This window comes from Homo sapiens, chromosome 21 (assembly GCF_000001405.40).
Source record: "Homo sapiens chromosome 21, GRCh38.p14 Primary Assembly".
Lineage (NCBI taxonomy): Eukaryota > Metazoa > Chordata > Mammalia > Primates > Hominidae > Homo > Homo sapiens.
Window position 1 is genome coordinate 32,689,325 of NC_000021.9, and position 13,356 is coordinate 32,702,680.

The window sequence follows — 13,356 nt, forward strand, 5'->3', positions numbered from 1 at the left end:
TCTCACTCTGTTGCCAGGCTGGAGTGCATTGGCGTGATCTCGGCTCACTGCAACCTCTGCCTCCCGGGTTCAGGCGATTCTCCTGCCTCAGCCTCCCGAGTGGCTGGGACTACAGGCGCCCGCCACCACGCCCAGCTAATTTTTGTATTTTTAGTAGAGACAGGGTTTCGCCATGTTGGCCAGGATGGTCTCAATCTCTTGACCTTGTGATCTGCCCGCCTCAGCCTCCCAAAGTGCTGGGATTACAGGCATGAGCCACCGCGCCCCGCGCAAAGTGCTTTTAAAGAGGGTGTAAAAGGGGGGTTGTCAAATCAGTCATGTAATTGGACAAGTAAAACCAGAAAATAAACTCTAATATGCTCATCCAATTCCAAAACTGAATTAACAGTACAGTATTATCATTCATTAAGCATTATCCCTCACTGCACTAAGTCAGATAATCTAATGAGTATTCTGATAACCAGGGGATTCTCTCTTTAATTTTTAAATAAGAAATCAATTAGCCTAATGTCACATCTGTGTTCAATTTCATTTTATGGTACTTAATAATATTCATAAAAGTTTAAAATTTGAAAGACGTATGTCCCAGGACATTAAGCATTTTAGACTGCAGAAAACTCACAAGTTGATACTTTTTCTTTGGAGTAATCCCAGATTAATTGCCTATCACTCCATACAAGTTCAAAACTTAGCATTTTTGTTTACTGATTAACATTTATTTTGCATAGTACTGCAACGGTGCATAAGGTGAAAAAAATCCAGTTTTCATGTCTTCCAGGTAATGCCTATGGTTGTTTTCCACCACTCTGTTCCCCAACACATATATACATTCAGCTATGTATCACAGCTCTCATAGCAATATACTGGCTAGACTAGATTAGATTTCTGTTTTTGTGTTATTAGAGACAGGGTCTCACTCTGTAACCATGCTGGAATGCAGTGGTGCAACCATAGCTCACTGCAGCCTCGACCTCCTGGGCTCAAGGGATCCTCCCACCTCAGCCTGCTGAGTAGCTGAGACTACAGGCACACGTCACCATGCCCGAATGATTTTTATTTTTTTATTTTTTTGTAGAAATATGGGTCTATGTTGCCCAGGATGGTCTTGAACTCCTGGTCTCAAGTAATCCTCCCATCATGGCCTCCTAGACTAGGTTTTATTACTCAATGTTGAAAGAAAAGTTTTACAATAACAGAGCTATTGCCAATCGTGATAAAAGTAGCACTCCAGAAAGTGTTAAGGCTTTAAATAACCATAACTTTACCCAATTAAAAAAAAGTTGCGGCCAGGTGTGGTGGCTCATGCCTGTAATCCCAGTACTTGGGGAGGCCGAGGCAGCTGGATCACCTGAGGTCAGGAGTTCGAGACCAGCGGATCACCTGAGGTCAGGAGTTTGAGACCGGCCTGACCAACATGGTGAAACCTTGTCTCTACTAAAATACAAAAATTAGCTGGGCATGGTGGCACATGCCTGTAATCCCAGCTACTCGGGATGCTGAGGTAGGAGAATCACTTGAAGCCGGGAGGCGGAGGTTGCGGTGAGCCAAGACTGTGCCATTGCACTCCAATGGGCAACAAGAGCTAAATTCCAACTTGGGGGAAAAAAAAAGCTTGCATTAAAGGTATTTTTAAAAATCATTTAATTGTGTGGTATGGTATATCATTTTCCATCAATATTACTTCTTTACCTTCACATATTTCTGAAATTTCAACCAAAAATTGGGGGTAGACCTTACAATGTTTACCATTTTTTGACTGATTGATACGGTTTGGATCTGTGTACCCCCTAAATCTCATTCTGAATTGTAACCCCCAAGGTTGAAGGTGGGGTCTGGTGGGAGGTGACTGAATCATGGGGGTGGAGTTCTCATGAATGGTTTGGCACTATGCCCCCTTGTATTGTTCTCATACTAGTGAGTGAGTTCTCATGAGATCTGGTTACTTAAAAGTGTGTAGCACCTCGCTCTTATCTTTCTTTTGCTCCTGCTCCCACCATGTGAGACTCCTCGCTCCCCTTTTGCCTTTTGCCATGACTGGAAGCTTCCTGAAGCCTCCCCAGAAGCAGATGCTGCCATTCTTCCTGTACAACCTGCAGAACCATAAGCCAATTAAACTTCTTTCTTCATAAATTACTCAGACTTGGGTATTTCTTTACAGCAATGTGAGAATGGACTAATAAACTGATATATACTGTAAATGTAGTATAATAATATATGATCTGAGTATTATAAGTTATAAATGCTAAACAACTTCAGGGAAAGGAAATCATAAGTAAAAGGAAAATCACAAGTCAAAGGAAATCATAAGTAAGTTGCCAGCACTAAAAATGTCATTCTTACTTGTGTAACACCTTATGACAATTCTTATAATGCCTCAAACAAATTCATCTTGGTATTTATCTTTTCCATAAAAGGCCTGAGTGCCCAAATGGCAACCTCTCTATGAAGCATCATTATATCTTTGAATCTCTCATAGCACCTAGCATAAAATAACATACACAGGAAGAACTCAAGTATTTAGTGAAGAGATCTGAGTGGCCACTGAAGGACAATAAATCTTAATTTTGGAAGTAGAGGATTCCTGCTAGAAAACTGCAAGGCCTGAAGTTGGACAGGCTGAGTAAACCAGATCATAAGGACATAGGTGCCTAGTAAATCTGACACGCATAACATATATATCAAAAATAAGAAGACCTGTCGGAGCTAGTAGGAAGCAGGGCCTAGAGGGACAAGACAGAAAACTGTGAGAATCTTCCAGGCTAGAAGAAATTATGAAAACCTTAACTCAGAGGATAGTAGTGGGAATAAAAAGAAAGTCCTACTGCCTAGAACAATGCTGAGACTAATGGTAACAGGGCTACTTTTCACTTGGTCAGGACTGGCTGCTTCATAGCCATTAGAGTAGGATCTTATAAAATAGAAGTTCTTGACTTTGAGTGGTAGAGAACTTGGTTAAAAATGAGGATTCCTGGCCGGGCACGGTGGCTCATGCCTGTAATCCCAGTCCTTTGGGAGGCCAAGGCAGGTGGATCACCTGAGATCAGGAGTGCAAGACCAGTCTGGTCAATATGGTGAAACCCCATTTCTACTAAAAATAAAAAAATTAGCCAAGTGTGGTGGCACGCGCCTATAGTCCCAGCTCTCGGGAGGCTGAGGTAGGAGAATTGCTTGACCCTGGGAGGCGGAGGTTGCAGTAAGCTGAGATCGCACCACTGCACTCCAGCCTGGGCGACAGAGCATCATTCCGTGCCAAAAAAAAAATCCATAATTTTCCACCTATCACCACATAACATTAGCCAACCAGACCGTATAGGAAGGAAAGCACACAGGAGAAGGAAGGCACAAGGAAGTCCCACTCAAGGAAGATCCCTCAGTGTAACTACTCAGGACGCAACCTTATTGGATCATCAAAACACTGTAATTCAGAACTTATTAAAATAACACAGGCCAAGTACAGTGGCTCAGGCCTGTAATCCTAGCATTTTGGGAGGCCAAGGCAGGAGAACTGTTTGCCCAGGAGTTCAAGACCATCCTGGGCAACAAGGTGGGACCCTGTCTCTACAAAAAATAGTGGTATGTGCCTGTAGTCCCAGCTACCTGGCAGGCTGAGGTGGGAGGATCACTTGAGCCTGGGAGATCGAGGCTGCAGTGAGCCATGATTGCACCAGTGCACTCAAGCCTGGGTGGCAGAGTGAGACCCTGTCTCAAATAAATAAATATATAAATAAATAAATATAAATAAATTAAACAAAGAAATAAAATAACATAAAAACAGTGTACCATAGGGCTCATAAACTGGTTATTAGAATCTCTAACACTAGCCTGTCCCTAAAACAAAAGCATTCACCTCGCATCACATCAGGGTTTCAGCAATGTTCTTAAAGCAAATACTCCAAACACCCACTGTTGATCATGAAAGCGTAGGAGAAGTGGGGTTCTGTTGGCATTCTCTCCTAAGGGAAATTTAGGGAAAGATATATCTATTTACGTTATCCCTACAAAGATAAAACAAGTCAAATCGTCTTGACAAGAATTCAAGAATTTTTGCAGAGCAGTAGAAGTGTTAATCCTTGTTAACTCTTAGACTGTCTTAAATAAAATGTTACTAAAAAGGTTCAAGTAGTCTGTAATTTTTCTCTGCAATAACCAGTCTAAGATGTAAGAGATCCAGCAGTCAAATAAAGGAAGAAAGATTTTTTTTTCTTTCCCTTTTCTCAATACTATAGGCTGAAGCACCAAACTTACTAGACTATACATACCCAGATCCTAAAGTAAATATGATATACTTCAAGGACTAATAAATTTTGAATAAAAATAAAATGTCAACAATAGTTAACCCTTACATGGTGCTGACTGGGGGCCAGGTGCTATTCTAAGTGCTTTTAATTTAATCCTTACAACAACCCTATAAAGTAGGTACTATTAATATTATTCCCATTATACAGATAAGGAAACTGAGACACACAAGGGTTAAATTATTTGCCCAAGATCACACAGCTAGTAGTGGTAGAGTAAAGATCCCAATTAAGAAGTCTGGTTCCCAAGGCTTTGTTTTATCTACTACATTCTTCTGCCTAAAGAGACTAAATCATTATATACTAAGATAAGAAGGTAATAAATATGGAATCACATTGCAAATCAATACACTATAAAGACTTCAAAATTTTTAACACTAAATACAGCAGCTCAATTTCAATGGCTATTTGAAAGAGCATTAAAAGAAAAAATATCTAAGATAATTCCAGAAACTCTGTACTCGTCTAGACCCTTATTTGCAAATCCAGCTAACATTATTAGATGGAATAATGGAACCATCAATGAATTAATTAATAAACTATCCAGAAAGTTTAGAAAATATGAAAATTGTTCAAAAAACAAAAATAACTGAATGTCAAACACATACTTGCAACCCTGGTTGCTCCCAGAACAATGGAACAGATCCTCGGATTTGTATGAAGGAAGAAACTGAGTCATCTAAGTACACAACCTACAGAAAAAAAAATAATATGTAAACTATTTCCACAGAAAAGTTGTTACACTTACATTAGAAAAACAAATTTACTAAAATCTATTGCATACTAGTTACATTTTATGATCTAACTCTCATATACAATTGTCCAAAACAGGCCACTATACAGGTTTGACTTTTTTTTCTGTTAGCGATATTAACCAAAAAAATTAGTAAAATTATAAGCATAAGATTCACAACTTTAAAAAATAAATTCCTTTTAAATCTTAATATTTTACATACATATCTTTATATTTCATTTTGTTTAGCTCTTTATAACCTAATTTGAAGATCTGTGTTGGGCTGGGTTCATGGCCTGAATTTATAATCATATAGTTTCATAGCCAAAAATATCATAATTTCTGATTTTTAGATGGTACACATATTTGCCATTAAGAGCTGGGTTTAATTTCACTTCACAAAAAAACAAGTTGTCTAACTCTACAGCTGAGGATTTTAAAATTCATTAAAATTCAATACCAAAACACACAACACTGACTATGTCATGCTGATTAGTGACATCTTCTTACCTAGATGAAGAGCCACACCAAAATAAGTTTTTTTTAGGGAAGCCTTTTTTTAAGGCCCATAAGTAACCAAGAACAATCATAAAACATTATAGATGTTAAAATAAGCTCCGAATCAAATAAAAATCTGTTATTCTAGTATTTTCTGTGCTTCTCCTATAATAAATTAATTAAGTAATATAAAACACTATATATACCTGTTCTGTTTCTACAAAATTGGCAACATGACCATCATCATTTGTTCCCCGGACATTAAACCTGGTCCCAGCTCGTTCACAGCTTAATCTTGAAATGAGGCAAGCCTTCGCCTGTTTATGAGCAGCATAAATTGTTCTGATTTCTACTCCTCCACACATAAGACGTAATAACCAGTCATCACAATTCACGCCATAGTGTTTGAGATGCAAATGCAAAGACTGATTCCTAATAGGAAAAGAAATAAATGATTAGCTTATGGAATACTAAGTAACAAAGTATGACTTTTAAAATAATCTCCTGGAAAATTAATTTAATATTATTAAATTTAAAGGCACAAACAACAAATCAATTCATTTACATTTACTATGCTAGGGATCAGAAGATAGGGCTATAAAACGAGATCCTTCAACATGTGATCTATGATCCACAGAAAAGGAGTATTTTTGTGTTTTTAGTATCTGTGGCCCATTTCTGTTATGTCTTTATATATAATGTGTTTATAACCTAACTTGTTCCAAAAAGGAATACATATGCATGTCCCCACCCCAATTTATGAAGCTCTACTTTTTAAAAAAATATTTATTTATTTATTTATTTATTTATTTATTTATTTATTTATTTTTGAGATGGAGTCTCGGAATGTTGCCCAGGCTGGAGTGCAGTGGCATTATCTCGTCTCACTGCAACCTCTGTCTCCCAGGTTCAAGCGATTCTTCTGCCTCAGCCTCCCACGTAGCTGGGATTACAGGCATGCACCACCAAGCCGGGCTAATTTTTTGTTTTGTTTTGTTTTTTTTTTTCTTTTTTGAGACGGAGTCTCGCTCTGTCGCCCAGGTTGGAGTGCAGTGGCGGGATCTTGGCTCACTGCAAGCTCTGCCTCCCAGTTTTATGTCATTCTCCTGCCTCAGCCTCCTGAGTAGCTGGGACCACAGGCGCCCACCACCATGCTTGGCTAATTTTTTGTATTTTTGGTAGAGACGGGGTTTCCCCGTGTTAGTGTTAGCCAGGATGGTCCTGAACTCCTGACCTTGTGATCCACCTGCCTCGGCCTCCCAAAGTGCTGGGATTACAGGCGTGAGCCACCGCGCCCGCCCATGAAGCTCTACTTTTAAGGCTTGACTTTTATAAGGCTCTATTTTAATTAATTTAAATTTAAATAGCAAGATGTGGCTAGTGGCTACCACATTAGATAGTGCAGGCATAGGGTTTATCATCGCTCCAAATACTTTTAGCATTCTAGGTAACAGATGTGGCCTGGTTTCCAAACTTTTTTCAGAGAAACAAATTTTATTCAAACAAACATGCAGAAGCCCAATGATTATGATACAGATAAAAGCTGCTATGGCTAAAGTGGGGATTGGGACTGAACTTTGCTGGGTTGGCCTTCTCACCCTGATTACCCCTCAGGGATCTCTCCTGGAACCTTAGACCTCCACAGAACATATAAAGAAGCTACTAACAATATACCACTAAGGAAAATACATTGTTAAGTGGAAAAACTCTATCAATTTGAAAATGAGTTTTCTATATTATTGAAGCTTGACTCTTTAGGTTTTAAGTGGAATTCTTCTACTTAAGTGCTCCGTACTCTCTCTCTCTTCCTGTCTTAAATAAGGTATAAAAGATGTAATAGCATTATCTTGAAGACTCACAGCAATAGCCCCAACTCCCTGCCAGCCCCTCAGATTACAGGCTGCAACAGAGATAAAAAGGGTGGTCAGCAGTTCTGGAAAACCAGCTATGACCCCAACCCCTCTTATCCATCCAGGAAATCACACGGGAATATAAATGAGTGATGATATTACAACAGGGATAATGTTAAATCTGATGACCATTACTTATTTTAAAAATACACTGACTTAAACTTCCATACTTTACTATTACCCACATTGATCTGAGGCAAAGTTCAAACTGGTTGTGACCCAGTATGTCCAACCACCACAGCTGAGACCTACGCCACAGCAAAGTTATAAGAAACTTACTTGTCCTCATTTAAATAGACCTTAAATCCTATGCATTTTGTGCAGGCAGAGTTTCTCTCTCTGCTGTCAGTTTTCATTTTTCTTTGCTGTCAGTGTGTCACTGTTTTAGCATTTAAATTTATACATGACTTTTGACTGGCAGCAGCTTAGAATTTCCAATGGAGTAAAGCTATCTGGGCTTTGTCACAGGTATCTGCCACTCTTTGGCTACAAAAATTACATGGTTGTATCCTGGAAAATATTGCTACTAAGTGCAAGGGTATGCACAATGAATTCCAAAAGTTCCCGTTTTTCTATATAAACTGAAGCTCAAGAATGCCAATCCTTAGCAAAATTGTAAAATGAGCAAAATTCACCTTTGGTGCTCTAGCTGTCCCTTTGTTCAACCTGTCTCCTGCTGGACAAATCTCAGGCTTTCTTTTATCTGACTTTGCCCCCATCTCTACTCTTAAGTGAATTAAAAAAAAAAAAAAAGGAGGCCAAGTACGGTGGCTCATGCCTATAATCCTAGCACTTTGGGAGGCTAAGGTGGGGGGGATCACTTGAGGTCAGGAGTTGGAGACCAGCCTGGCCAACGTGGTGAAACCCCATCCTTATTAAAAACACAAAAATATTAGCCTGCGTGGTGGCGCACGCCTGTGGTCCCAGCTACCCAGGAGGCTGAGGCAGGAGAATTGCTTGAACCCAGGAGGTGAAGGTTGCAGTGAGCCAAGATCGCGCCACTGCGCTCCAGCCTGGGCGACAGAGTGACACTCAAAAAAATCAATCAACCAACCATCCAATTAATCATGCCTATTGATTAAACCTAGGCAATATATCTGCATCTGCTTGGACTTCTAATTGTTGTATGAAAGCTTTTATCTCTCAATCTAAGAAACTTTGGGTAAAAATGAGGAGGGAAAAAAATGTAAGGACAGCTGCAACACATTTACCTTTTCAAGGGACTTCAACATCTTCTACTAGAAAAAATGTAGTGTTGGCATGGTTTTAACTCTTGGAAGCCTATTTCTCAATGCTTCACAAAAGTACATCCCATCACTGCTAGCTTCTTTGGGCAGGCAGGAACTCATGTCCATTCATCTGCCCTGTTAGTCCCTGCATCCCCTCTCTCCTTTCCTCTCCCTCATGGTCTCCTCCTCTGCTAAACCCAAGTCTCTAACACATAATGCTATAAACCCTGTTTTTATTCTGTCCACTCTTCTCCCTGATGCCACCACTCTGGGTCAAAACACTTCCATGTGAGCTACAACGTGACCAAGCTGTTGCTCTAAAGTTAAGTTTCTTATCCTAAGTTTGTTGTTGACTTTGAGTCTTCTGACAGCTAGGGCAAATGGGTGACACCCGAATGTGCTACTCAAGGACTATATAAGTGACAGTGAAAGTGTGAGAGAGAAAAAGTACACAAGAGGAAACCATCTTGAATCTGAACTGTTAAGGGAGGCCAAGAGCAAAGAGTCCTGAACTTTGGCCTTATAACATATGTCAATATAATAATACATAATTTGCACATGATATCAAGAGAAAAAGTCAACATCAATGCTGGCTGTAAACAACAGAACCACTATACTAGAAATCTGGTCTGCTGCAATAGAACAATGCTAATTATAGTCCCATGTGTTCTGCTCACCATTTGTGCCTACTTAGAATACAGCACAGTTATGCATAATCATGAAATACATCACACTTACCTACATAAGTCCTAACTTATTATAGTACTAGATTTTGTCCCAGTATACTACTTCTTCACAATCTGTTGCTCTTGAATCAAGACCACCTACTTATAACCTTAAAATTTAGAATAATAAGGGAATGTTGGCTTAGAAAGGGAATGCCGCCAGAGACAAGATCTCAAAACCAAGAATAGGAAACGTGAGTAACACAGTTTTGTTACAATTAAATTCATTTCTAAATATACACAACTATTTTAAATGTATTTTGGAAATGAAAGTTCAGTGTAGACTGGGGGGAGCACAGGGGTTTTATGTCACATGCCAACTTCAATAAACCGACATTGGCTGCCTGCCATGCTCTGCTGAGGACTCCAGAGAAGGAAAGATGGATACACTCAATTAGCAATGTCTATCCCTTGTTATCTCTAGACATAACAACTGCTGAACTTTTTTTCTTTGTAAAGCAAGCAAAAGTTTTATTGAGGAAGTACAAGTACACTCCAAGAAAGGAGTGGGCTGACCCTGCTGGAAACACCCCCAAGACATTCTGCATTGTGATCTTCTATTGTCTCAGTTCTTTCTTTACCCAGTTCTCACCAAGGTTTGGGGGATCCTCCCTTACTGTGCTTAATGCACATGCACGGGAACCAGTGATCAATATGAATCCTATCTAATGGTGGCACTGCTTATTACCACCACCCCAGGAAGGTATAGCCATCAATTTTGTACTCATTATGCCTGCTCAGCTCTCAGGAATTCCCCTTTGCCTTTTTCCTTCCTTATCAGGATCTACTTAACAACATTCTGACAGTTCGACCACGGAGTGAGTACTGAGCATCCTAAGAGGAGTTCCGGGGCATTCTTTCCAACACGTATACCACCCCCTCGTGCCTGCTCATATCTGACTGTCTACTCTTACATTGCTCCCTCAAGGCGTTGGGACCCAGAAATCTTTTGGGAGATGAGGTAGAGGTCATTCTCTGTAGCTACTTGCTGCTGAAAAGGGGCATCGAGGGTCTTCAGGGTTCTTCCTCCTTTCTTGCTGTCACGGTGAGGAGGTTTTTGATGACTGAACAACTGCTGAACATATTATGTCCCAAATCACCAAAAGGGAAAAAATGAACTCACCAGAAAAATCTATTATCAGTTGTCTGTTCTTGCATGCTACGATGCGCATTAAGACTCAAATCTAAACTGATGCCAGATGCAGACCATGCAAAATAAAAGTTTCCTGAATTCAAAACTTTCCGCACTTCTGAAATGCGATCCTCATCTGAAGAATCGATTCGCAGTGATATAAACTCAGTGGAAGTAACTCGGAAAACTTCAGATTCTTGAATTTTTCCAACAGACATACATCCAGTGACTAGGACCAGATAATGTAACATAGTATCACCTGCAAAACCCAAAGATTTTACTGGATGAAAAATCCCAACATTTTCAAGCTATTCCATTTCTTCTTGCACCTCTATTTTTTAAATCTGACATTGTGATTATTTTAAACTTATCATGGATGTGTTGAAATTCACTAGACATTTTAGTTGAAAAAAATCCTTGTTTAAATATATTAAGTATAATAAAGCATTTAAACATTAACAGGATAATCTCACACGAAATTGTTCCTGAACTTATTCTGAGGCTAAAAAAACTTTATCGAATAATTGGCTGGGTGCGGTGGCTCACGCCTGTAATCCCAGCACTTTGGGAGGCTGAGGCAGGTGGATCACCTGAGGCCGGGAATTAAAGACCACCCTGACTAACATGGAGAAACCCCATCTCTACTAAAAATACAAAAACTAGCTGGGCGTGGTGGTGCATGCCTGTGATCCCAGCTACTCAGGAGGCTGAGGCAGGAGAATCACTTGAACCTGGAAGGTGGAGTCTGCAGTGAGCCAAGATCACACCATTGCACTCCAGCCTGGGCAACAGGAGCTAAAACTACGTCTCAAAAAAAACCACACGAACAAACAAACAAGAAAAAAACTTTATCAAATAAAAAAGTATGTGTTACCTTCTCTACTTTTGCTTAATGATTGTCAGAAAATTCAGGTAAGATAATGAATTCACACTCATTTTAACAAGTTCTTTGTAAATAGTAAAGTTGAAAAAATGGTATACTATTATCAGCTGATGATGTTGATGACAAATGGACAAAAGTCTCTGGTAACAACTTATAAAGCAATTTGGTTTACAAAAACTTTCACAGAGATTTTTTTCATGTAATTATGACAAAAAGCCTATGAAATTAGTATAAAGTTGAAATTGAGCAATGGTATACTGTGAGCATGGGCTCTGACACAGGTAGAAGCGGCCCTGAATCTTGGCTCCATTACTTATTACCTGGACCAATTTCAGTATGTAGCATAACGAACCTGAGATATCATCTCTTATAAAAAGAGATTAAAGCAAATACCTCATTATACTGTGAGGCTTACCCAGGAGTAATCAGTAAAGCACCTAAGCGCAGTGCTTTATATGTGATAGATTCATAACAAATGACAAATCTCCATTTTATAGACCAGTGCTACTCAAAGTATGGTCCATGAACTGTTACCAGCTCACAATGAGAAAGGACACTTACACCAGAATGGAAATCAACTATATTACTAAGTTCACCCTTTAGTTGAGCTGACTTTTTTTTCTAGTAAGACTTTATCAATGAAGGAAGCCACATGTTGATTTGTATCATAGTGCAAGCTCCTTATCTTATCACGGATCAATAACAAAATGATTTATGGACCAGTACCAATGTTGAAGAACACTTTGAGCTGCAAAATTACAGATAAACTAGTAACTGCAAAGGTTACTCTGCAGCTCACGGTGACATTACGTGGCAAAAAAAAAAAAAAGGCTCAAGCAGACACTTTCTGAATTCAAAACAGATGTCTTTTCCAATACAAACCAAGAAAAATCAGTGTAGTTCTCATGCAGACACTTTTTCCTAAATGCACTGAATCAACAAAAAGGAGAATGTTCTGATTTTCTCTTTTGACAACTGATACTTATCTCTTCAAGTGGTCAAACCAGAGACTGTCTCCGAACTTCCACTCACATGAGTTTGAGCATGTAGCACGCCTTTTTGGGCAACAAACATTATCACAATATTAGCTACATTAATGTTTAAAAGATGTTAGCACATGTGTAGCTTAAATATGGAGTCTACAATAATTCATAGCTAGTCCCTCTCAAATCCTTAGAATTACAAAATAGAAATGAAAAAATGGATGAATTCTACTGAATGATAAACTTACCAAGATTTAACCGCAGAACACCTAAGAGTCCATATGCATCCAGTACTTTGGAGTATGTACCCTTGATTGCCTCTTTTTCTGCAGATGCTACAAAAAAAAGTTTTAGTTTAAGAAAAATGACCTGAAACATTGGATTCTATTTAGCTAAGTATAAATCCAGAGTTTCAATCAAAAGTTTCTAAATCTGATATTCTTAAAATAAATGTACTGCATATTTTCTTAAACTAGTAACATTAGTATTCTTCCCAAAGAGTTAATAAATTATTCCAAGACCATCTATTAATTAATCCATCCTGTCCACTGATCTGAACTCTGTCTTCTTACCCTTTTATTCTTGACAGAATAGTGCTCGACACTTAGAAACTGACAAAACATTTAAATGATAAAAGCTAATGGCAACACTTGACTACACAAATGTAGGGCAAGAATAGGGAAATCTGATTCTGAAAGGACAAAAGTCTGGTCTTTGCCTTGATTTATTTCTTCTGCTATAAAGTTAACGTTACCTTGTTAATGAATATAAACCACAGAATAATTTTCCTAAGACAGGCTATTATGATTATTCTATTGAGAAGAAAAAACAACAAAAAAAAATCAAATCCTGAAACGTTAAAGAAAAAACCTTCCTAGCACTTAGCAATTACACATTAAAAATTTCACAAAGAACCAAAGAAATATTAACAACCAGTATTTCAAAGGACAAATACAAATAATACATCC

At 38.7% G+C, this 13,356-nt stretch overlaps 1 protein-coding gene across 24 annotated transcripts in view; it reads right to left on the minus strand.

Annotated features, from left to right (window-relative positions):
• SYNJ1 (synaptojanin 1) overlaps positions 1–13,356 on the minus strand; it is a 99,636-nt gene that overhangs the window by 60,566 nt on the left and 25,714 nt on the right. For 23 of the 24 annotated variants that reach the window (XM_047441038.1, XM_017028497.3, XM_017028499.3 and 20 more), the window contains exons 3-6: positions 12,637–12,723; positions 10,514–10,781; positions 5,733–5,958; positions 4,904–4,987 (exon numbers count right to left, since the gene is read on the minus strand). In XM_047441038.1, coding sequence (XP_047296994.1) covers positions 4,904–4,987; positions 5,733–5,958; positions 10,514–10,781; positions 12,637–12,723 — 665 coding nt within the window. The remainder of the gene's footprint in view (positions 1–4,903; positions 4,988–5,732; positions 5,959–10,513; positions 10,782–12,636; positions 12,724–13,356) is intronic. The other variant, XM_047441041.1, reaches the window with a different exon arrangement.